Source organism: Homo sapiens, chromosome 1 (assembly GCF_000001405.40).
Source record: "Homo sapiens chromosome 1, GRCh38.p14 Primary Assembly".
NCBI classification, from domain to species: Eukaryota; Metazoa; Chordata; class Mammalia; order Primates; family Hominidae; genus Homo; species Homo sapiens.
In genome coordinates, this window is record NC_000001.11 from 185350601 (window position 1) to 185376711 (window position 26111).

General features: G+C 39.9%; 1 long non-coding RNA gene across 1 annotated transcript in view; it reads left to right on the plus strand.

The window, feature by feature from the left end:
- The window catches only part of CBSLR (CBS mRNA stabilizing lncRNA), a 58849-nt gene extending 33149 nt beyond the window's left edge, over positions 1-25700 (plus strand). The window contains exons 2-4 of the long non-coding RNA XR_007066771.1: positions 15817-20189; positions 23018-23128; positions 23797-25700. This is a non-coding gene — a long non-coding RNA (CBS mRNA stabilizing lncRNA). The remainder of the gene's footprint in view (positions 1-15816; positions 20190-23017; positions 23129-23796) is intronic.
- Positions 25701-26111: the final 411 nt, after the last annotated feature.

The window sequence follows — 26111 nt, forward strand, 5'->3', positions numbered from 1 at the left end:
TTTCAGTGGTCTTTTTCCAGTCTGGTTTATATTTTTCTTTACTTGAATACCTTATCTACCTCCGTGGGGGAATAATTTAAGGAGAAAATAATTTCTGCCTGTATTGCTGTTAAACACTCATCTTTTCTACATTGATCCCAAAAGTGAGAAAGAAGAAGAGAAACTTATATACCAGGACATGGCTTTTTATTAATTTGTATCACTTCAGAAATTTAAATAACAATATAAAGGGAGGGTAAAGTTCCTTTAAAGGATATTTGTTATCAAGTACTCTAAATGAAAACAATGTTTATTTAGAAATATGGAAATTTTTTATGAATTTATACAGGAATCTATGTCACTCAAAACATTTCACCTCCAAATACCCACTGGACATCTCTTCTCTCCTGTCAGTTACCCTGTCTCCTTTTCTTTCAATCTTCTTCCAAACTTAAAAAATATCTACATTTTATCCAACATTCTCGTGTGTGTAGCTAGACCACAGGTGTGCAAATCCTTGTCAGCCTAGACTGTAAGCAAAGTAAAACACTTTCTGAACAAATGATTGGCTCTCATTAAGATGGTATCTCACTCTAGCTGCTAAGAATAATAATGTTTGTCTTTTATTCTTTTTTGTATATTAAGTACATTTTGAAAAGAAATCACTAAATATACCTTTAAGAAGGAAATCAATTCCCAGAAATGGTATTTATTCAAAGAGATTCCTTAGAAACTTCTGTAGCTGCATGATCTATTTTGAGTAAGCATAGCATGTGGCCACAGGTTCCATTGATTTGGCACAATTTTAGTTCTCTGTTGACTGAATCAATCCACATGTTGATCTTCATCACTCCCATTTCCGTTATGCTCTTAATTCCTGCTGGTGTAAAACTGATTAAAGCCAGTGGTGAAAAGCTGCTAATGAATTGAGCACCCAGAGATAACTACAATTCTGTATGTCCTGGGGCAGTATAATTTTTTAAGAAAGTATTTAGGCAATATGGGAACCACCTTGTAAAAGGCAGAACAGTGAAGTGGTGAAGACCTGGAGGCTCACTGCTTGACTTCAGATACTGGCTCTGCTGCTTCTTAGATTCATGACTGTGAGCAAGTTATATAATCTCTCTGAGCCTTTGTCCTCATCTGCCAAATGGGGAATATTAATGCAAGTTAATATGTATATTGAGCTTAGAACAGTGCCTAGTACTTTGTAAACACCCAATCATTACTAGCAATTATTATTTTCTTTGTAAAGAATACATAGATATGAAAGTGAATGGTCATTTGCCTGTGGTAGTCACTATTAACCACCCAGACTATATCTTTCCAGAGCATTAAATATGTATGTAGTTTTAACAGAGTGAGCAGCAGTGCAACAGGAATGTTAATGCTACTTTAAGAATGACTTGGTTCAACCAAACCTAACTGTACAATTTACAAACAGTTTTTCAAAAGAGATTTGCTTTAAAATCCTGATTTCCGTGTTACTTCATAGTTTTTCAGTAGTGAGGAACATACTGGAAGAAAATACAAAATGATATAGTTACCCAAGGATTCATACATCAAATGTATCCAGAATTCACAAACTATCATCAAGAATTCAATATTCATGACAAGAATTCTGGGCAAATAGCCAAACTATGAGGCATGTGCCCTCTTTAACTTCATATATGTGTATATTATATATTTTTAAATTGACCTTCTATGTATTCTATTTCTGGTTGTTGAGGGAAAAGCTGTTGCTTAGCAACCAGTTGTTTCCGCTTGGCTGATGTGTAAAATGGAAAACTGTGCAAATCAGAGGCAAATAATTTTGTGCATTAGGAGTGCTAAGTTACTTGTTTTAACTATTAAATTGTTTCCCAATTTGGTTTAGGGTTCCTAGTGTGGAAAAGATAAAATCCGAAGCTGTATCATGATATTTACTAATTATTTTAAAGAATACAGATTAATTAAGAATATGTAAATTAGTATATAAAAAAAGAATAATTCAGGGACTTAAAAAAGTTACTTAAGTGTTAAAGTACAAGTTAAAAGTTTCAGACAGGCCAGACATGGTAGCTAATGCCTGTAATCCCAGCACTTTGGGAGGCCAAGGCAGGTGGATCACCTGGGGTCAGGAGTTCAAGACCAGCCTGGCCAACATGGTGAAGCCCTATCTCTACTAAAAATATAAAATTAACTGGGCATGGTGGCACATGCCTGTAGTCCTGGCTACTTGGGAGGGTGAGGCAGGAGAATTGCTTGAACCCACAAGGTGGAGGTTGCAGTGAGCCAAGATCACGCCACTACACTCCAGTCTGGGCCACAGAGCAAGACTTTGTCTCCAAAAAAAAAAAAAGTTTCAGGCAGAAAATATTTTTATCTTAAAGGGGAAAAAACTAAAATACACATAACAAATTCTTGAATTGTATCCAACAAAACATAGACATACACCCTATAAAACTTTTTAACATAATTTTATATATATTCATTTATTTAGGTTTTTAACAAAGAGAACTTGCTAGAGAATGAGAAGTTGTATAATGATGAGAGTCTCTTGGCTGTTGCTAACAAAAACTGACTAACTGAAGCTAAAGAATATTTATAGGCATGAAAGATTTGGTGCCGGTGGTGGTGTGCTTGGAATTGATGGGATATTGCAGAGCCAGGTTTGGAAACAGGCTAGAACCTTGGGCACTCAAAAATACTGCTTGAGGCCAGAGCCACAGCTGTTTCCTTGTGTCTCTCTCAAGTTTCAAAAGGCCAGGGGAGAGCATTGCCTGGCTGATTCCTCACTGCCTGCTCCTTGGCCGAGGTGAGTCAGGGGCCAGGGAGGATATGGTCCCTTCCATTTCCACGGAGACATGCATCTGTATTTACAGGACAGAACACTGCATAGGGGGTTTCCTTTCTCCAAAAGGAATTCCGGGTGCTATTAGAAAGAAAGAAATGGATGCTAGAGATGTATAGCTGGAGAGATAGATATACAGTATGGAGATATTATGTACAGTTGACCCTTGAGCATTGTAAGGGTTAGGGATGCCGATGCCCCTGCAGTCAAAAATTCTCCTATAAGTTTTGACTCCCCAAAAACTTGACTACTGCTAGCCTACCGTGGGCCTTACCAATAACAAAAACAGTTGCTTAACACATTTTGTATGTTATATTATATGCTGTCATCTTACAATAAAGTAAGCTAGAGAAAAGGTTATTAAGAAAATCATAAGGAAGATAAATATGTTTATGGTACCATTCTGTGTTTATTAAGTTTATGTCATCAGTTTCCAAGATGAATCCTCTGTCTGAAATGGCAGACACTGCAGCTGCAGATCTCAAGTTACGGTACACATCAAGCAATTCAACTTCTTGTCATGTCACGACTTTCTGTTTTTTTTTTTTTTTTTGAGACGGAGTCTTGCTCTGTCGCCCATGCTGGAGTGCAGTCATGTGATCTTGGCTCATGGCAAGCTGCACTTCCCGGCTTCATGGCGTTCTCCTGCCTCAGCCTCCTGAGTAGCTGGGACTACAGGTGCCTGCCACCACACCCGGCTAATTTTTTTTGAATCTTCAGTAGAGACGGGGTTTCACCGTGTTAGCCAGGATGGTCTTGATCTCCTGACCTCATGATCTGCCCGCCTCGGCCTCCCAAAGTGCTGGGATTACAGGCGTGAGCCTCCGCGCCCGGCCATGTCATGACTTTCTCTGATTCTTGGGAGCACTTCCAGCATCATTGGTGGCATTTGTATGGGTCCCTTGGTGTTATTCAAGTTTGAGGTATTTCCCTAAGCATGGTGAAAAATAGGCAAGAACTGTGAGAGATACTTTTTACTTCAGTTCTACTGGAAAGAAAAATGGCTCACGTGGAGATAATTAGCATCACACAGTGTTTTAAGCAGATACTCACAACACTTGAACTCATCGCAACAGCAACAGGAGGTGGCCACAAAATTATTACAGCAGTATAGTATTTGCTGCAGTTAATTTTGTGTAGTTATAATTGAATACTGCATTTCTATGTTTGTTTACATTTCTCTCAACTGCAAATGAGACCATGAATGGTCTGTGTGCATAAGTTTTGATAAATTTTAACTTTTTATAATAGATTTGTATATATTTTGTGATGGTAGATAATCAAATAGACTAGTATCTACGTACATTTTATGCATGTATGACCTATCTAATTTTTTTCTTAATTTTTTGATATTTCTAGGCTGCACATTTTGTCTGCAAGTTTTTTCAAATTGTCGCAAATCTCCAAAAAATGTTCCAATATATTTATTGAAAAATATCTGTTGGCTGGGCACAGTGGCTCACGCCTATAATCACAGCACTTTGGGAGGCCGAGGTGAGCAGACACTTGAGTCCAGGAGTTTGAAACCAGCCTGGGCAACATAGTGAAACCCTGTCTCTACAAAAATAAAACAAAACACGAATTAGCCAGCTATGGTGGCACATACCTGTAGTCCCAGTTATTCAGGAGGCTGAGGTGGGAGGATCACTTCAGCCTGGGAGGCTGAGGCTGCAGTGAGCTGTGATCATGCCACTGCTTTCCAGCCTGGGCGACAGGGTGAGACCCTGTCTCAAAAAAAAAAAAAAAAATCTGTGTATAAGTGGACCCATGCTGTTCAAACCTGTATTGTTCAGTGGCCAACTGTATATAAAAATCTCCATTTTGGTAAATCTGTAGTGCCTACAAATCAACTCATTTGTGGCCTAATTGCTTTTTTTCTTCTCATGTTCCTCACCTCTAACATGTATATAAAAATCATCAACTTCATGTATTTACTAAATACTATAAAAATTATCATTTAGTCAGTGGTATCTAGATCTTTTTAGCCTATGAGGTAATATGTAAGTATGGTTAGAATTTATAAAGCAGTGATGTTTGCATGTTTTCATATGCAATTTGAGTTGATTTTTATGATTTGAAGCTTTATCTTTATAAGATCCCTGAATATCAAAGACATTGGGGAAATCTATAGAATCACCAAGAATTATATCAAAAAGAGACCAAAGCCATGGAGTCTAACTTTTCACTCACCACAGAGCAAGCCAAAAAGTCAGTGAACCAAATCATTCCTTTTATATACTGTAAGTGGATTTTAGTTTCAAAGGAAAAAACTCATTAAATAGTGAAAGAATTTGTACCTATTTCTTATTAAAATATTTTGGCTTTCACTTACTTGGCTGTCAACGATAGTCCTTGTCATTTAACCTAAAAAAATCTTTGTTGCAATTTGAATCTGCCACATGGAATATTCTGGTAGTGGCCGGTGAAAATAAATGACCAAACACCCCAAATCTTCTGTGTTAGGATACCAGGTCAGCTCCTGAAACAAAGGCCAACATAACAGTGTCAGACAAGATGGAAATTTCTTTCTTTCTCACAAAATAGTCAAGCTTAAATAGACTAGAGCTGATATGGCCATTTCATAGTGCAAGGGATCAGGCTCTTTCCATCTGGGTGCTCTGCCATTCTCAACATGAAGTTTCCATCTTGTGGTCTAATGTAGCTGCTCCTGCAACTGCCACCATCTGCATTCCAACCAGCGGGAAGAGGAGAAGGGCCAAGGGGAGGGCTCATATCCTTGCAGCTTGCATAACATGTGCCAAGTCACATGGCCACCCCTAGTTGTAACCAAAATGGAAAGTATAGCTCTTAGCTGTTGTAGACTGGTAGAGTGGAAGTTTTCTGGCATACCATTCCATTACAAACTTACTACTATCTTATCGTGCTAAACCAGAAAATGTCTACTTATTAAAACACAGCAATAGCAACCCAAATGTCAATCCAAAGAAACAAACCCTAAATCAAATTAACTAACATTAGAAAATAGTGAGAAAATTCTTGTATTGTGTATTCTGTACATATAAACTAAACTGTTGTCTTTCAGACTATCAAGGTAATACATAATATACTAAGGAAGTAATCAGGGCCAGGCGCAGTGGCTCACATCTATAATCCCAGCACTCTGGGAGGCTGAGGTGGGAGGATTACTTGAGCCCAGGAGTTCAAGACCAGCCTGGGCAGCATAGGGAGACCCTGTCTCTACAAGAAAATAAGACAATTAGCCAGGCATGGTGGCATGTGCCTGTAGTCCCAGCTACTCAGGAGGCTGAGATAAAAGGGTCACTTGAGCCCAAGAGGTCAAGGTTGCAATGAGCCGTGATTGCACCACTGCACTCCAGCCTTGGTGACAGAACAAGGCCCCGTCAAAAAAAAAGAAAAAATTAATTGACCTGCTGGCACCTCAGAGTTATCCTCTGAAAGTGGATGATTAAGGGCATCTTTAGGTGTAGTTCTGCCATTTTCAGACTCTATGTTTCACTGTCATGTTGCTGAAATTCTAGACAAGTGTTTCAAAGGGTCCTCAGAAAAACATAGGGTCTTTTATCAAAAGCTTTACAAATGTACACTCCCTTTGACCCCAAAATACTATAAAAACACTACTTTTAGGAGTTTGTCCTAAGGAAAACATTGGGGATGAAGGAAATGATTCATAAAGATATTTATTGCAAAGTAGTTTGTTGCAATGAAAGATTAAAAATAATCTATATATCCTGTAAAAGGAAACTGTACATAAGTTATATCAACACAATAGAATGTCTCACTGCCATTAAAAATGATAGGTAGGCCAGATGTGGTGGTTCACGCCTGTAATCCCACCACTTTGGGAGGCTGAGGTGAGTGGATCACTTGTGATTAGGAGTTCGAGACAAGCCTGGGCAATATGGCAAAACCCCATCTCTACAGAAAGATACAAAAATTAGCCTGGCATGGTGGTGTGCACCTGTAGTTGCAGCTACTTGTGGGGCAGAGGCAGGAGGATTGCTTGAGCCTAGGAGATTGAGGCTGCAGTGAGCCATGATCGCACCACTGCACTCCAGCCTGGGTGACAAAGTGAGACCCTGTCTCAAAAACAAAAAACAAAAAACAAAAACAGGTACAGAAATATTCGCTATTGACATGGAAAGATGCTCAAAATACATCATTAAGTGAAATATATATATTTGAAAATCATATGATAGTATGATTCAAAGTTTATAAATTAACGCTGTGAATATTCTTTTATTTTGTTTATAATTGACGCATAATAATTGTACATGTTTATGGGGTACAATGTGATGTTTCAATACATGTATATATTGTATAATGATTAAATCAGTATTAGTTAGCATGTAGCATGTCCATCACCTCAAACCTTTATCATTTCTTTGTGGTGAAAACTTTCAAGATCTTCTTTTCCAGCTATCTTGAAATGTACAATACACTGTTTTTTTTTTTTGTTTTTGGTTTTGTTTTTTTTTTTTGAGACGGAGTCTTGCTCAGTTGCTCAGGCTGGAGTGCAGTGGCCTGATCTTGGCTCACTGCAAGCTCTGCCTCCCGGGTTCACGCCATTCTCCTGCCTCAGCCTCCCGAGTAGCTGGGACTACAGGCGCCCGCCACCACGCCCGGCTAATTTTTTTTTTTTTTTTGTATTTTTAGTAGAGACGGGGTTTCACCGTGTTAGCCAGGATGGTCTTGATCTCCTGACCTGGTGATCCACCCGCCTCAGCCTCTCAAAGTGCTGGGATTACAGGCGTGAGCTACTGTGCCCAGCCGTACAATACACTGTTATTAGCTATGGCCACTCTACTATGTAATAGAAGATAGAACTTATTCTGCCTAACTCTAACTTTGTACCCCTTGGATGACCCCTCCTGATCTTCCCCGTCCTTCTCCCACCAAGAGAGACAAGACCATCAAGTAGACCAGCACACTCCAAACAGATCTTTGGAAAGAAGGCATTGAGAGTGGACAGAGGGAGGATGCAGACCCTGGGGCTGAAAGGAGAGAAAGTTGGAAATCCTGCACAGGGTTGCCAAGCACTGGAACTCAATCCTGACCACAAGTGGCTCTTAGGGAAGCAGTAAGTTGAATAGGCATGGAGCAGCCCACTCTCACCATGGACCTCCAGGATCCTAGCTGTGGGAGACCCCACGACCCCGATGGATGGATATTTGAGTTGTCAGGGAGAACTGCCCAGAGAATTGGCAGAGACAGAGCTCTAGCTTGCACAAAGCCCAGAGGGTTTGGTGTGAGAACGTCTGCTCTGGAACATAGCCTTGGAGTACTCATCCCCCAAGGCTTGCCATACTCCTCTAGGTGTCTATAAACTTTGTTAGCTGCCAGATTTGGAGAGAGCAGGGCAGTCATGCCTGTGGGATAGGGTCAGTATGATCTGAACACCTTCCTGTCTGCTGGCCTCTCCTAGGGTCCAGGCCTGGACACATCCACTTGCAGCAGGCCTCAGCTGCCCTGCTGGAATGCTTGGCAGCAGCCATGTTCCCATTGGAGCACTTTTGCAGACACACCCTAGCTGGCAGACACCTGCCTGCAGCCTCCCCCAGCTGCCCTACCAGTGCGCAGTCCCATTGAGACCACCACCATCCTGGCAGTGTGCATGTGTGTGGACTGCTGCCACCTCACCACTGTGCCCATGCCCATACCCTCCCTCTGTCATACCATCCTGCTGCTGCTTACTCCCCCATGGCCTCTGCACTGCAGCACACTCTTCTGGACTCCCCCACCCCCTGCTGCCCCATCAGAGGCTTTTGCTGGCAGTCCTTGTGGGCCTATTGTTGCCAGTGGACTGGAACACTTTGGCCCTTCCAGCACAGCAGTGCTTAATCTCAAGAAGCCAGAGAACAAAGCCACGGGCCGAGTCTCAGCCCCACAGGGTTAGAACATGCAGCCCAGGAGTGTTGAGCTGACCCCTGGGCCCCTAAAAGTATCCAGAAAGGAAGCCAATTGAGTAAACCCAACTTATACCAAAGTCAAACCCTCAAGGGCATCAAAAAATATAAAAGCAAAAAGCCACATTCAAGGACAGCAACTTCAAAGATTAAAAGAACATCAGCCCACACAGATGAGAAAGAACCAGCACAAGAGTTCTGGCAACTGTAACAGTCAGAGTGTCTTCTTACCTCCAAATGACCACACTAACTACCCAGATATGGTTCTTAACAAGATTGAAATGGCTGAAATGACAGACATAGAATTCAGAATCTGCATGGCAAGGAAGCTCAACAAGATACAGGAGAAAGTTGAAACCCAATCCAAGGAAACCAGTAAAATGATCCAACAGTTGAAAGATGAAACCATTTAAAAACTAAAAAATTTTTTTTAACTTTTGACTTTTTGTGGGTACATAGTAGCTATATATAATTCTGGAGTACATGAGATATTTTGATACAGGCATGCAATGCATAATAACCACATCATGGAAAATTGGGTATCTATCCGCTCAAGCATTTATCCTTTCTGTTACAAACAATCCAGTTATACTCTTAGTTATTTTTAAAATGTACAATTAAATTATTATTGACTATAGTCCCCCTGTTGTGCTATCAAATACTAGGTCTTATTCATACTGTGTATTTTTTTGTACCCATTAACCATCCCTACCTCCTCCCAGCCCCGCACTACCTCTCCCAGCCTCTGGTAACCATCCTTGTATCTTCTCTCTTCAGAAGTTCAATCATTTTGATTTTTAGATCCTATAAATGAGAATGTGTGATGTTTTTCTTTCTGTGCCTGACTTATTTCATTAGCATAATGATCTCCAGTTCCAACCATGTTGTTGCAAATGACAGAATCTCATTCTTTTTATGACTGAATAGTACTCCATTGTGTATAAGTACCACATTTTCTTTATCCATTCATCTGTTGATGAACACCTAGGCTGCTTCCAAATCTAGCCACTTTAAGAAAGAACCAAACTGGGCTGGGCATGGTGGCTCACGCCTGTAATCCCAGCAATTTGGGAGGCTGAGGTGGGTGGAGCACCTGAGGTCAGGAGTTTGAGACCAGCCTGGCCAACATGGTAAAATCTCACCTCTGTTAAAAATACAAAAAATTAGCCAGACATGGTGGCCGGTGCCTATAATCCCAGCTGCTTGGGAGGCTGAGGCAGGAGAATTGCTTGAGCCTGGGAGTCAGAGGTTGCAGTGAGCTGAGATCATGCCATTTCACTCCAGCCTGGGCAACAAGAGCAAAACTCCGTCTAAAAAAAAAGAAAGAACCAAACTGAAGTTCTGGAAATGAAAAATTTACTACAGGAGTTTCATAATGCAATTGGAAGCATTAATAACAGACTAGACCAAGCTGAGGAAAGAATCTCAGAGTTTAAAGACCACTCTCTCAAATCAGTGCAGACAGACAAAAATAAAGAAAAAATAATTTAAAAAAATGAACAAAACCTCTGAGAAATATGGGATTATGTAAAGAGGCCAAACCTATGACTCATTGGCATTCCTGAAAGGGATGGAGAGCAAGTAAGCAACTTGGAAAACATATTTGAGGATATTGTCCATGAAAATTTCCCCAATCTTGCTACAGAGGTTGACTTGCAAATTCAGGAAGTTCAGAGAACCCCTGTAAGATACTATACAAGATGACCATCTCCGAGATACATAGTCATCACATACTGCAAGTTCAGTATGAAATAAAAAAATCTTAAAGGCAGCCAGAGAGAAGGGGCAGGTCATATACAAAGAGAACCCCATCAGATTAACAGTGGATCTTTCAGCAGAAACCTTACAAGCCAGAAGAGATTAGGGGCCTACATAGAGCATCACTAAAGCACAGAAATTCCAACCAAGAATTTCATAGCCAGCCAAACTAAGCTTAATAAGCAAAGGAGAAATGAAATCCTTTTTAGACAAACAAATGCTAAGGGAATTCATTACCATGAGACCTGCCTTACAAGAGTTTGTTAAGGGAGTGCTAAACATGGAAAGGAAAGACTGATACCTACCACACATAAACACACTTAGGTACACAGCCCACTGACACTATAAAACAGCTATGCAATCAAGTCTACATAACAACCAGCTAACAACAAGATGATAGGATCAAATTCTTACATATCAATATTGACCTTGATTGTAAATGGACTAAACACCCAACTTAAAAGGCACAGAGTGGCAACTTGGATAAAGAAGGAAGATCTGACCGTATGCTGTCTTCAAGAGACCCATCTCATATCTGATGACTCCTATAGGCTCAAAATAAAAGGATGGAGAAAGATCTATCAAGTAAATGAAAAACAAAAAAGAGCAGGGTTGCTGTTCTTATTTCAGACAAGCAGACTTAACCAACAATGATTAAAAAGGACAAAGAAGGGCATTACATACTGATAAAGGGTTTAATTCAACAAGAAGACTTAACTATCCTAAATATATATGCACTCAACATTGGAGCACCCAGATTCATAAAAACAAGTTCTTAGAGACCTCTGAAGAAACTTAGATAGCCACACAATAACAGTGGGAGACTTCAACACCCCACTGACAGTGTTAGATCATTGAGGTAGAAAACTAACAAAGATATTCAGGAGCAAAACTTGACACTTGACCAACAGACCTAACAGACATCTACAGAACACTCCACCCAACAATAAGAATATACATTCTTCTCATCAGCACATACTTTAAGATGGACAATATGCTCGGCCATAAAGCAATTCCAAACAAATTTTAAAAAACCAAAATCATATCAACCACACTCTTGGGCTACAGAGCAATAAAAATAGAAATCAATACAAAGATCTCTCAAAAACCATAAATTACATGGAAATTAAACAACGTGGTCCTGAATGATTTTGAATAAAGAATGAAATTAAGACAGATATCAAAAAATTCTTTGAAACTAATGAAAACAAAGATACAGCATTACTAGAATCTTCATTTACTCAGAGATTCTAATGTAATGTTAAGAGGAAAGTTTATAGTGCTAAATTCCTATATCAAGATGTTAAAAAGATCCTCAAATTAACAAACTAACATCACACTTAGAGAGACTAGAAGAGCAAGAGCAAACCAGTCCCAAAACTAGTAGAAGAAAAGGAATAACCAAAATCAGAGCTGAACTGATTGAAATTGAGACATGAACTTGGTTTTTTGAAACAATAAACAAGATTGATAGAATACTAGCTAGATTAATAAAGAAAAAAGAGAGAAGATCCAAATAAACACAATCAGAAATAATAAAGGTGACATTACCACTGACCCCACAGAAATACAAAAAACTCTCAGAGTCTATTATGAACACCTCTGTGCACACAAACTAGGAAACCTACAAGAAATGGATAAATTCCTGGAACATAAAACCTCCCAAGATTGAACCGGGAAGAAATTGAAATCCCGAACAGACAAATAATGAGTTCTGAAACTGAGTCAGTAATTAAAAACTTAACCAACCAGAACAAGCTCTGGACCAGAAGGATTTACAGCCAAATTCTACCAGATGTACAAAGAAGAGCTAGTACCAATCCTACTGAAACTACTCCAAAAAATTGAGGAGGAAGGATTCCTCCGTAACTTATTCTATGAGGCCAACATCATTCTGGCACTGAAGCCTGGCAGAGACACAATGAAAAAAGGAAACTTCAGGCCAAAATACCTTATAAATATAGATGCAAAAATCTTCAACAAAATACTAGCAAACCAAATCTAGCAGCACATCAAAAAGCTAATCCACTATGATCATGTAGGCTTTATCCCTGGGATGCAAGGTTGGTTCAACATATGCAAATCACTTTTATGTAATAAAAGTAATTCATCTCATAAACAAAACTAAAAACAAGAACCACATGATAATCTCAATAGATACAGAAAACACTTTTTTTAAAAATAAAATTCAACATACATTCATGTTAAAAACCCTCAACAAACTAGATATTGAAGGAACAATCCTCAAAATAATAAGAGCCATCTATGACAAACCCACAACCAACATCATGCTGAACAGGCAAAAGCTAGAAGTATTTCCTTTGAGAACTGAAACAAGACAAAGAATGCTGACTCTCACCACTCCTATTCAACATAGTACTGGAAGTCCTAGCCAAAGCAGTCAGGCAAGAGAAAAAAATAAACAGCACCCAAATAGGAAGAGAGGAAGCCAAACTATCTCCTTCCACAGATGATATGATTCTATACCTAGAAAACCCCCATAGTTTCTGCCCAAAGGCTCCTAGAACTAATAAACAACTTCAGTAACATTTCAGGATAGAAAATTAATGTACAGAAATCAGTAGCATTTCTTTATGCCAATAATGTCAAGCTAAGAGCCAAATCAAGAATGCAGTCCCATTCACAATAGCCACAGAAAAAAGAAAATACCTAGGAATGCAGCTAACCAGGCAGATGAAATATCTCTACAATTAGAATCACAAAACACTCCTGAAAGAAATAAGAGATAACACAAATGGAAAAACATTGCATGCTCATGGACAGGAAGAATCAATATTGTTAAAAAGGCCACAGTGCCAGAAGCAATGTACAGACTCAATACTATTCCTTTCAAACTACCAACATCATTTTTCATAGAATTAGAAAAAACTTCAGAAATTCACATGGAACAAAAAATGAGCCCAAATAGCCAAAGCAATCCTAAGCAAAAAGAACAAAGCCAGAGAACAAAACCAAAACAGCATGGTAGTTGTACAAAAACAGACACATAAACCTATAGAACAGGTTAGAGAACCCAGAAACCAAGCTGCACAGCTACGACCATCTGATCTTCAACAAGCTGACAATAACAAGCAACAGGGAAAGGACTCCCTATTCAATAAATCGTGTTGGGATAACTGGCTGGTCATATGCAGAAGATTGAATCTGGACCTATTCCTTTCACTATATGCAAAAATCAACTCCAAATGGATTAAAGACTTAAATATAAGACCTAAAACTAAAAACGCTAGAAGAAAACCTAGGAAATATCATTCTGGACCTAGACCTTGGCAAAGATTTCATGATAAAGACTCTAAAAGCAATTGCAACAAAAATAAAAATTGACAAGTAGGACCTAATTAATGACCTTTTGCACAGCAAAAGAAACTATCAATACAGTAAACAGACAACCTACAGCATGGGAGAAAATATTCTCAAACTTTACATGTAACAAAGGTCAAATATCCAGAATTTGTAAGGAACTTAAGCAAATCAGCAGGTAAAAAAACAAACAATCCCATTTCAAAAATAGGAAAAGGACATAAACAGACACTTCTCAAAAGAAGACACACATGCAGCCAACGAACATGAAAAAATGCTCAACATCACTAATCATTGGAGAAAATGCAAATCAAAACCACAATGAAATACCATCTCATACCGGTGAAAGCTATTATTAAACCAGAATGGCTATTATTAAAAAGTAAAAAAACAAAAAGCATGTTGATGAGGTTGCAGGAATGTAAATTAGTTTAGCCACTGCGGAAAGCAGTTTGGAGATTTCTCAAAGAACTTAAAACAGAACTACCATTTGACCCAGCAATTCCATTACTGGGTATATATCCAAAAGAAAACACATTGTTCTACCAAAAAACAAAAACAAACAAACAAACAAACAAAAACATCTAGCAATTGAAAAAATACTTTGGGAAAATTGCGATTTTTCTGGTCAAACTTCTTTGGTATGTGCCTTTCTGATCTTCTAAATGTATTTATCTACCTACCATTCTTGGTTCTTTATTACCACTCTTTTAAGAGGAATCATTTCTTTTGTTATCTTTACATTGCATAATTAAAACCGATTGACTTATCTGGGCTTTACCTGTTTAAGCTATCAAAAGTAATAATATTTGCCTTCCTTACCAAGATTCCTGGGGATATTTCCCCTGAAAAAAAAAAAAAGTGTTGGATTCTTCTGTTTTTATTTTTCTGTTGTCATAGCTTTGTAACAATTAATTATGTGTAAGTTTCCATTATACCTAATATAATCACAAACAGTGCATTATCTATATACACAGAGGGTTAGAAGCTCTCTATTGTGGTGTTTAGCCTCACGCTAATCCAGACAATCTAAAAGGATAACAAGGATAATGAGTTCCTCTACGCTTCACATCGATTATTAGATAGAACTTTTGACTGAAAGTGGCAGAATCTAACTTGAACTAGAGTATGCAAAATGGCAAACATATTAGCCCATAAAATGAAACTGCTGGAGATGTGATGGTGTAAGGACTCACATCTCCCTTCTTCTCATTCTTCTCTTTATATGTTAATCTCATTATCTGAAGACTGTTTTCCCCAAAAGGCCAACTTATTCCCAGCTGCTTCCATGAGAGGAAAGGGCTCATTTTCTCTAGAAGCCAAGGTAAAAAATCTAGGAAAGGGGCTCACCTCTGTAGGAGAGAGAGGGAGGAATATGGGTTATATGTGGGTTATTGTGATTAACAGCCATCATCAAAACCACATTGCTGGAATGAGGTGGGAGGAGTTCCCCCAAAGTCGTGTGCTACAGGGTCACCAAAAAGACAACCATGACATCTCTGTGCCTTTTAACTGCAAGGAAGTTGGAGAAGATATGAAGTGCTAAACAACAGACAAAATTCTTTTGCCAATTTTACAAACATTTATCACTGCCACGCAAGAAACGAACATAAACAAGGAATAATCTTTATCCTAAAGAATTTTATAATCCATGGAGGGATTAGAAAGTGCACAGGCAATTATGATTCAAGAGAGACTATACTAATTATCACAAAAAGCTTACAAAGGGCTCTAGGGAGTTCAGTGCCAAGGGAGAGACCTTATTAATTTGAATGGAAAAGGCTAGGCAGATGATTTGGGCTTTGGGACACTGGGATTTTGATGGGCAGAGCTGGCACTTTGAACAGTGATGAAAGGATACTCTATCTAGCTGAAACTACATGAGGAAGTCTTCTACTTGGGAGAGGTGTGCAGAGGGCATTTGGGGAGCTGCAAAGAATCTAGCTGCAAACCGAAGGTGGGGATTAAAGTTATATTATGGAGGATCTTGAATGTCAGGCTAAGGAATGTGTACTAATTATCCTGTGGTTTCTCTCACAGAAACCAATGGCTGCATTAAATGAGTCTATAGAAGATTTTTCATCTCTGGACATGTCTAATTGCAGAGCTCTAATTGGAGGAACGTGTGGCAGTATCTGAAAGGAGAAAATAGGTGCTTGCTGCTTTGTTTCTGTCAAAACCTCTGATGTTAGAATATGTACAAAAAATGGGCACAAAAAGTTGGCTACATATAGCTTAAAGTGGGAAAAATAAGCAAGAAGATAATTCTTACAGGTTCGCCAAGTGTGGCCTCATGACCAGCAGCATTTGTCACCTGGAAGTTTGTTAATAATTCAAAATCTTGAGCCCCACCCCAGACTTACTGAGTCAGAGGCTCTGGGAGTGGAGCCCAGCAACCAGTGTTTTAACAAGCCCTTCAGACAATGTTTTTTTTTTTTTTTTGAGACGAAGTCTTGCTCTGTCGCCCAGGCTGGAGCGCAGTGGCACAATCTCGGCTCACTGCAAGTTCCGCCTCCCGAGTTCACGCCATTCTCCTGCCTCAGCCTCCCGAGTAGCTGGGACTACAGGCGCCCGCCACCATGGCCGGCTAATTTTTTTTATTTTTAATAGAGACGGGGTTTCACTGTGTTAGCCAGGATGGTCTCCCCTCGTGATCCGCCCACCTCGGCCTCCCAAAGTGCTGGGATTACAGGCGTGAGCCACCGCGCCAGGCCCAGAGAAGGTTAATGAATGCTAAAGTTTGCGAACCACCGTTTGATAGGCTGAAAATGGCACCTCAAAAGACAGTGCATCTGAATCCCTGGAACTTATAAAATATTATCTTATTTGGCAATAGGGTCTTTGCAGATCTGATTAAAGATCTTAAGACAAGAAATTATCCTAGATTACCTGGATGAATCCTAAATACCGGCACAAGGACCCTTTTAAGAGAGAGACAGAGGGAGATTACACACATGGAAGAGGAGGAGGCACTGTGATCACAGAGGCAGAGCCTGGAGTGACGCAGTAACAACCAAGGGATGAGGGCAGCCACCGGAAACTGGAAAAGGAAATGAATGGATTCTCCCCTACAGCATGTGGAAGGAACACAGGCGGCTTTGCTGACCTCTTGATTTCAGCCCAGTGAAACTGACTTCAAATTTCCGAATCATAGTTCTGAATTAGAACTGTGAGAAAGTGAATTTCCGTTGTTTTAAGCTATCAAGTTTGTGGCAATTTGTTACAGAAGCCACAGGAAAGGAATACACTCCTCATAAAGAATGAGGAGATATATGCTAAACTACTTAAAAATTTGTTAGAGTCTTATAAGAAAATATACTTGTTATTATTTTCTAAATATCTAAAATTAGTGATCCTTTTGTAAAATTTGCCACTTCTTAAACATTTTTCCCAACACAGCTTGCCATCAAATGTTAAAGTGTAATAATTTTCATAATATTGGCATCAAACATGGCCTTTATATATCTTAATTTTCATATGATAGCACATCCCACAGGAAAGAAAATAAATTCTCTTGACAGGAGGGAAAAAAAAACAGGACATATTTTGCTTATAGGTGAGATTTGCATAGGTTAGAAAGCTGTCATAAAGCTTTTTTATGGTTAAGGAAATGTTTTGTGGGAAATAATATTGGCATTTATTTATAGGAAAATGTTTCACAATAAATATTAGAAGATAGTCTATGTATAATCTATGCTACTTGATAAAATAGTCGAGCTTTTAAAAAGAGATCTGGAACACCTGGAACTTGTAATAATTTGTCTTCTGCACAATGCTTCTCAGATCATTGTTATATATATATAGATAGCTCTATATATGAATATATAAAAGAATATGTATATAAATATGTACCCATTTAATTCTTACAACTGCATACTATATGAGATGAGCAGGTCAAGTATTTTTATTTTTCTTATATTACAGATTAAAAAGTGATGCTCAAAGAAGTTAAATAACCGGCCCAAATTCACAAAAAAATGTAGATACTAGATTTTGTATTAGAAACTACCTAAATCTCCTGACAATGCTATTTCCAGGGTTTCAGGTTTCTTCAGCTGACCTCAACTGGGCAAATTAATATTTGTGGTTAATTACACTCTGGTTTAGAGACACTGTGATCTGTTTCAACCAATTCAATAGGCATTGCTGAGCATCTATTGTGTGTCTGAAACTGTGCTAGTTCATCTAGGGGAACACAGAGAAAGTGCCAGACATATTACTGGTAGGGAGGAAATGCCTATGTAAATGAAACAAATAAGAAGGAGAAAGAATAAAACCAAATGCCTCAATCTGGGAGATTTCATGCAGAAAAACCTTGAAGAATGGATGTGATTCAGGAGGTGAAAGTTAGAAAAGCATTGCAGGAGGCAAAAGAGTGTGTTGGGGAGTGGCGGGAGTGAAACAGCATGAACAAAAGCGTAGAGATTGAAATAACAGGTGGCACCCAGAGAAAGTGAAGTGACAGCCTGAGGTGCCAGGAGCACCATGTATATGTTGGTGAGTAGGGGGAGCTGGCTTCTCAGGGCCCACCTGGCCTCAGACAGTCTCACAGCAACCAAGAATCTTTAGTATTTCCAGTGAATACACACCCTAGGAAAGTAAGGGAAAAGTAGTACTCACATGTAAAAATTAAAATGCATTTTAAAAACCTCACCTTTTGCCCAGCCCTACCATTCTTGTCCTATGGGTCCACCCTCTGGAAGCTTGTACCTCTGCTCCTGTGTTTTCTGATGGTAATAAACAGGTACAGGTGTATGTGTTTGTAAATGTATTTGAACCATGAGCCATACATTTCCTGTTTGCAAAAGAGGTGTCTTTCTTTATGAAAATGTTTTAAGAGTTCAAGGTGAGGACACAGTCTGCAAGGAGATGGGAAATCAAAATTACGTTTACATAAAGTGACATGAATTAGGGAGAGAGGCTTAACTGGAGATAGAGGGAAGGGGAGGAAGCAGGAAGTGAAGAAGTGGGCAGAGCAGGAGGCCAGAGCCTGAGGAGAAAGGACAACTGGTCAGAAACTTCTGGGGCCAGAGTGGTAGAAAGGCTTTACAGAACAATGATATTTTAAATTATTTTTGGTGTTTCCATGTAAAACTTCTCCATTGCTCTGAATCTTCCATAAAAGTTAGTTACACCCAGAACCTGGAATGGGTGGTATTTTGGGGAAGTACCTAAAGTGAGGTGCAGATGTGTAGGACTCAGGGCCATGTCCAGCATGGACAACAGAGTAGCAATATTTATGCAAAGGCAACATGACCCACAGACCAGATGAAGTTCTCCCTTGATGACAAAGAGAAACCCAGGCACATTGTCTTCTTTCCCCAGAGTTGCTGGAGAAAATGGGAAGCTTGTTGAGTTTTCCATTTCATATAGGTTAGGGTTTCAACCAATTTCATTTGATCCATATAGGCCATGGTGATCCCTGCATAGATCTGGGCTACCGCAGCTCATGGTCATCACTGGCAACCATGCTTTGGTCTCTGCTTCACTGTGCTAGTCTGCCACCATGGAAAGGCCTTTCTGTTTGCTGAAAGTCACCAGGCAAGTGAGCCAGCTCCTGGAGGAGGAGGTAGAGCTAGATCGGCCAAATGTAGTCTCCAGAGAGTGACTCAAATTTGGCTTCTCTTGGCTCCAGAGTCTATTTTCTGTTTACTAAGGAATTAATCATGGTTTCCAAATTGGTCTGCCAGGACACCAGCAAGGCTGGTTAAAGCAGAGGTGCCGGGTTTGGGATTTTTCCATGCCCTGGTTGGTGATTTTCAGCAGGAAAATGAAGGGATGTGCTTCCTCCTTTATAGCTGCCCGAAAAATTATTGAAAGTCCCATAACTTATCTGATTCTGGTCACTTGTGTCAGCATAAACGCACCAGGTTTATAGCAACTGAGGTGAGATGCCTCACTTCTTTAGCATCTGAAGTGAGATGTGTCAATTCTTTTTCTTTTTTTTGTCAGCATAAAGTGAGGTGTGGATGTGAAGAACTCAGGGCCATGTCCAGCATGGGCAACAGCAATAGTAGCACTTATGCAATGGAAAGATGATCCACAGCCCAGATGAAATTAAAGCCTTTGGTGAAAAAGATAAATCCAAGTACATTGTCCTCCTTCCCCCCAACTGCTGGTTTGAGTAACACAATTTGGTGGCTATTTGAATTAATTTAATAATTGTTTAATAAATAACCAACATGTGCTAGGCTACAGAATCCCATGTTTGATTTAGCATCTAGGGAAGTCAGTCAGGGTTTGGAGATACTGTGAACATATCTTTCTTTACTTTTTCTTTTTTCGAGACAGGGTCTTGTTCTGTCACCTAGGCTGGAGTGGCATGATCATGGCTCACTGCAACTTCTGCCTCCCTGGCTCCCAGCCTCAAGTGATCCTCCCACTCCAGTCCCCTGAAGCAACTGGGACCACAGGTGAGTGCCACCATGCCTGGCTAATTTTTCTTTTCTTTCTTTCTTTCTTTCTTTCTTTTTTTTTGACATGGAGTCTTGCTCTGTTGCCAGGGTGGAGTGCAGTGGCACTATCTCGGCTCACTGCAACCTCTGCCTCCTGGGCTCAAGTGATTCTCCTGCCTCAGCCTCCCAAGTAGCTGGGACTATAGGCGTGCACCACCACGCCCAGCTAATTTTTGTATTTTTAGTAGAGATGGGGTTTCACCATGTTGGCCAGGATGGTCTCAGTTTCTTGACCTCATGATCCACCTGCCTTGGCCTTCCAGAGTGCAATTTTTGTATTCTTTGTAGAGATGGGGTTTCACTATGTTGCCCAGGCTGGTCTCAAACTCCTAGGCCCAAGGGATATGTCTGTCTTGGCCTCCCAAAGCGCTGGGATTACAGACATGAGCCACCATGCCTAGGCATATCTTTCATTCTTATAAAAGGGGCTTGAGCCTGTCTTTTTGCTAGATTCATGATAATCCTATTAGGATATGTCTTTTCAGTGTATTCATACATGAGCAATGAATCAACACAATGTCTTCTTGAGCCTGGTCTAATATCATGGGAGAAGACTTTTTAAAAGTTGAAGCATGGCTAACATGGTGAAACCCTGTCTCTACTAAAAAATACAACAAAAATTAGCCGGGCGTGGTGGTGGGCACCTGTAGTCCCAGCTACTTGGGAGGCTGAGGCAGGAGAATGGCGTGAACCCAGGAGGCGGAGCTTGTAGTGAGCTGAGATGGCACCACTGCACTCCAGCCTGGGTGATGGAGCGAGACTCCATCTCAAAAAAAAAAAAAAAGAAAGAAAAAAAAGTTGAAGCAATAATTGATTTTGCTCTCATTTGTTGGATTGTTTAACGTAAGAGGTAGCTTGATTATTTTGCACTGTAACTACTTCCACAGATGTCCACACTGATCATATTTTCCCAAGGATAATTAAGAGGCTCTTGAAAATATAATAAATAATTTTTAAATGGAGAGCATGTTTTTCAATTAGCTGGAATTACTTTAAGTAATTTGTGATTTAAGTAATTTGTGATCACTATACTTTAGAATTTAATATATAGGGTGTTTAGCTTTATGGTAATAAAAACAATCTCTAGCTGGAGAAATCTGCATTAATCTCACAAAAACACTTATATTGTGAAGTAGATTCATGGAAAGAAACATGTGACAGGTCTGTCATTTCTGTTTTTAGCTTTATCAGTCTTTCAAAATAGTAAAAACAATTAGAATAATGAAACAGATTATCATATTATAACATATTGCTATTTGAGTCCTGATTAATTTTGACACCTTCAACTGTTTGTTCTATACAAATCTGCATACACAGCACTTAGGGACTAGCATTACTATGGTCTGGGTTGTGATTAGAACAGAAATAGATAGACAGACAACAATGAAACACTCTTAACTTAGTTCCCAAATCCCACTGATGCCTGAAATCCCACTGTTAATGCATGCCTCCATAGTGTTAGGCGTAGTCCTCCTCAGTAGTGTTTTGGGCATGTCCTTCAGAGAGTGAGGATGTTACCTTAAGGAACACCAACAATCAAGAAGTATGGCATACTCAATGAGCATGTTTTCAACTCTTCTGCTACTTTTTCCTTTGTGCCACTAATCTGACGCATACAATTATTGAGAAAGGATGAAGCTAGTCAAAGTCCCTGCAGTATTTCCCACTGATGAGATATAGAAAAAAGCAACAATGGCAAATATTAGGAAAATGATTCTCAGACCCTCTATTGTATCTGGCTTATTCTAGGAGAGACCAAGAGCACAGAGCAAGTGAGCGCAAAATTGACCCAGAACTTAAATTTCTCTATCTGGGATTGAGAGTTGAAGAGTTCAGATGCCAACTACTTTGTGGTCTTTCTGAATCATGACCTTTTGTGATGACCAAGTAAAGTGAAGGTAGAATAATGTCAAAGTGAGAAGGTTCTAGGATGCATTCCTTAGAAGCTGTAAGCTGGGGTGTTTCGATCAGACTGTTTGGAAAAGCTCTTAGAGTTTCCTGCTAGAGTGGCAGTGTCCACAGAGACAATAGCAAAACAGGGTTATCCAGCTAACCAATCTTTCTAAAAATCATTTTGAAACTTAGAGTTGGAAAGGGCCAAGAGGTCATCTGCTCTACCTTCCCAGCTGCTGTCTAACATCTCATAAGTGATTATCCACTTTCTATTTGAACACCTTCCATGATACGTAGTGCATTTAAATGCCCCATTTTGGTAGTAGCCTTTCTAGATATATTTACTTATGCCCCAAAGATATCTATAATCTTCTAAGAATGTACCCTTCAGTCTGGTAACCAAGTAACCTTCTCTTTCTAGCTATTAATATATGGGATTCCTCTGTTTTTATACAAAAGCACCATGTTAGATACTATAAGGAGAGAATAGGATTCAATAATATATACTAGACTTTTGACTTGAAGGACATTTCAGCCTAGTAGAGAAATTTAGACACACATACACGTTGGCTGAGAGGAATAATCAGGGAAGTTTCAGGAAAGAGATAGTATGCGGACTTAGCCTTGAAGTGTGGGTAGAATTTGGAAAGACTTTTCCAAGAGTGGCCTAGAAAATAAGCAAAGTTGTATTACCTGGGAAAATATTTCAATAAGATTCAGGTCACTTGCTTAAGAACACCATTTCCCAGAAGACAACAGTGGGGAGTTTACCATTCGAAGACCTGCTTTGGAGATGTAGATTACTGTACCCTTTGATTTTCAGAAGATGCAGTTAGTATTTCTCTTTTTCAACAAATGCTGTTTTCTTACTAAACCATATTTCCTGTTCCCAGAGTAATTTTATGCTGATTGAAGAAAAGAAGTAAACAGAGTTCCAGAAAGCAACTGCAAATACTCATTTTGAAAAAGAAAACAAAACAAAAACAAGGGAGACATTTTAAAAGGTATTTTTATTCAGAAATTTTTAAAAAAGAAATAAGGAAAAAGGTGAACAACCCACAATTCGTCCTGTAGTATACAAATGGCATCTAAGAGTGAGAACCTTGGCATCCTTGAAAGCAGAGGTTTGAGGTCTGAGATGTTTTGGTTCATGTTGTACCATATGGGCTACTCACTGTGTGAATGCACACTCTTGTTCATCTCCCCCTATGCTGAGCTAGTCCAGACCTAGGTCTGCTCTGCCTCTCTGGGTTTGCTTGCTGGGCACGGTCAGTGGCTAAGCTGTGGATAGAATACTGTCTCTTCACCACTGACTCACAGGATGGCAGGGCCAGCTCACTTCCCCTTCTGATGTTTTTGTTCCTTAGTGTACGGTGGGACCATAGCAGTCCTCACCGTCTTTCTTCATTCCATGGAAATAAATGTGTATATTTGTGAGTGTGCTTTGAGACAAGGATGAAAAGGAGATTAGTTTTTGTCCTCTTCAGGGAAAGCACAGAATCACTGTGCCTCCTATTACTGTTAGCACCAGCAACATTCACGGGTAATTCTATCAGGGACACACAGCAGCCTTCTGAATTAATGTTGGCTTGTTTATTGCAGAGTACAGATGAAATCCTGGGCTAACCAAGTTATGTCCCCATGTTGACTCACTTCCTTACTTTCCTCCTAGGTGCTAAAGCAACAGGACCAGTTGCCAGAGAGCTTATTTTACCTCCCCAAAACAAGATTGGTGTTTCATCCTTGAGTTTAGTACACAGGATTGTTCTTATTCTTCTGCAGATAGAGAGGTGCACTGCTTTATGCTGCAAGTTGTCTATAAGACAAGTTTTGTGAGTATCAAATATTTGTAAGCAAATCAAATTTCTCCCCCAGTTGAAATGATTATTTCAGAAGAATTTCTTCTTTGTTTTGAATTGGACTTCTGAGTTGGACTTCTCAGCATGATAAAGAAGAAAGAGCATTAGAATAAGAAAGAAGATTAAGCTTCTTGTTTTGATTATGCCCATAATCAGCTGTGGGACCCCGGGCTAATGCACTCCAAAATCCCACTGTTCTGTGACCTTGCTATGTGGGGCATCAGCCTCCTCATCTCTAATATTTTGGATTTAAGTTAGTTGATTTTTATGGTCCCGCAATGGAATTCTTTAAACAACTCCACTAATCCATGATACTGTTGCTTTAAAAATCTTGGTTTTAGCTTTCCTCTAAGGAATTTATAGTGACAATTATCTACTTTTTTTTTCTTAAATAAAAATAGAGGTGGGGTTTTGCCATGTTGCCCAGGCTGGTCTCAAACTCTTGGGCTCAAGTGATCTGCCCACCTTGGCCTCCTAAAGTGCTGGGATGACAGGTGTGAGCCACTGTACCCGGCCAGACCATATGTCTCTAGCATTTTGATAACATTCTCTACAATCTGGGCCCTGTATAACTCCCCAGTCTTCAGACTACTACTCTCTATGCTCACATCTTTGGCGATTTTATACTCTTTGCCAATTTAGATGCCATTTGTTTTTTCGTTTCCAGTAGATTAGTATGTCCAACCCAGATTTTGGTAAACCCTAGACTCATTCTACAGTCTGTGACATCTCCATTTGGATTTCTTATTGGCATCTCAGACTCCATATGTCTAACCTGGAATGCCTGATCTCCATTGCCTCCTAAACCGGCTTCTCTCACGGCTCTCCCATCTCGGGGCCCAGCATCTCAGACCTTTGCCTTGCTTACACCAGACATTTTGTTGTTATCTGTACCACCTCCTTCTCGTGCAGTCTACTTGATGCCACCTAATTGGTATCCCTGGCTTCTGCCCTTGTTCTCTTAACGAATCATTTTCCAAACAGCAGCCAGAGTGATCCTTTCAAAAATGGATTCAGAAATCATGTCACTGCTCTGCCCAAAGTTCCCAAATGACTTCCCAGTCACTCAGAGCACAAGCTGACGCTCGACACATCTGGGCCCCGTAAGATTTTCATTTCTGCTCCTCCTCCTTTTGCTCACTCTGCCCCTGCCACATTGGTCTCCTGCTTTCCCGGAACTTGCCCAACATGTTCCTCCCTCAGGGCCTTCACATTTGTCATTTCCTGTCCTATGATGCTCTTCCTGCAGATATCTACAGCAGCTCCCCGCTGCTCCTTTTGCAGGTTTTTGTTCAGATGTCATCTTCCTGGTGAGCTCTTCCCTGAACAACTCCTCACCCCCTCCACCTTGCCCCTGGGACTCCCTTTGACCTTTCTCGGATTGTTTTCCCTGTAACTCTTGCCACCACCTCATACAGGGCTTCTCAAGCTTGGCATGATTGGCATTTTGGGACAGTTCTTTGTTGCGGGCTATTATCCTGTGCCTTGCAGGATGTTTAGCAGCATCACCACCCTCGACCCACTCAATACCTGCAACTTTCCTCCCTAGGTTGTGACAGCCAGAAATGTCTCCAGACACTGCCAAATGTCTCCTGGGGGACAAAACCACCCCTGGTTGAGAATCTTTGATATAATGTAAATATGCATTTTACCTATGTATTTGTTTATTGTTCCTCCCTTCCCCACCAATAAAATATAATCTCCATGAGAACAGGAATTTTTGTGTCTATTTTCCACTGATGTAATGCAGGCACTCTGAATAGGGTATGATGCATAGTAGGTGCTCAAACAGATATTTCACTGGTGAATAAATGAAATGTGCTCTGACCTTGTTCCTCTGTGCTCATTAAGCTCTAGCCACACTGACCTTTCTTCCACCTCTCAGACATCTGAAGCTCCTTCTCACCTTTCAGTCTTTTTCTTTCAGATCTCACTCCTGGAAAGCTCTATTCGCAGGTCTCTGTTTACTTGTTACTCAGGTCCAATAACACCTGCTTAGAGAGGCTTCCCTGATCACCGTATCCTACATGACCCTCCCTGCCAGCCAGAGTCACTGTCTATATTGTTACTGTGTTTTAGTTTCTGCATTACATTTGTCTTGGAAATTATCTTGTTTACGTGGCAGGTG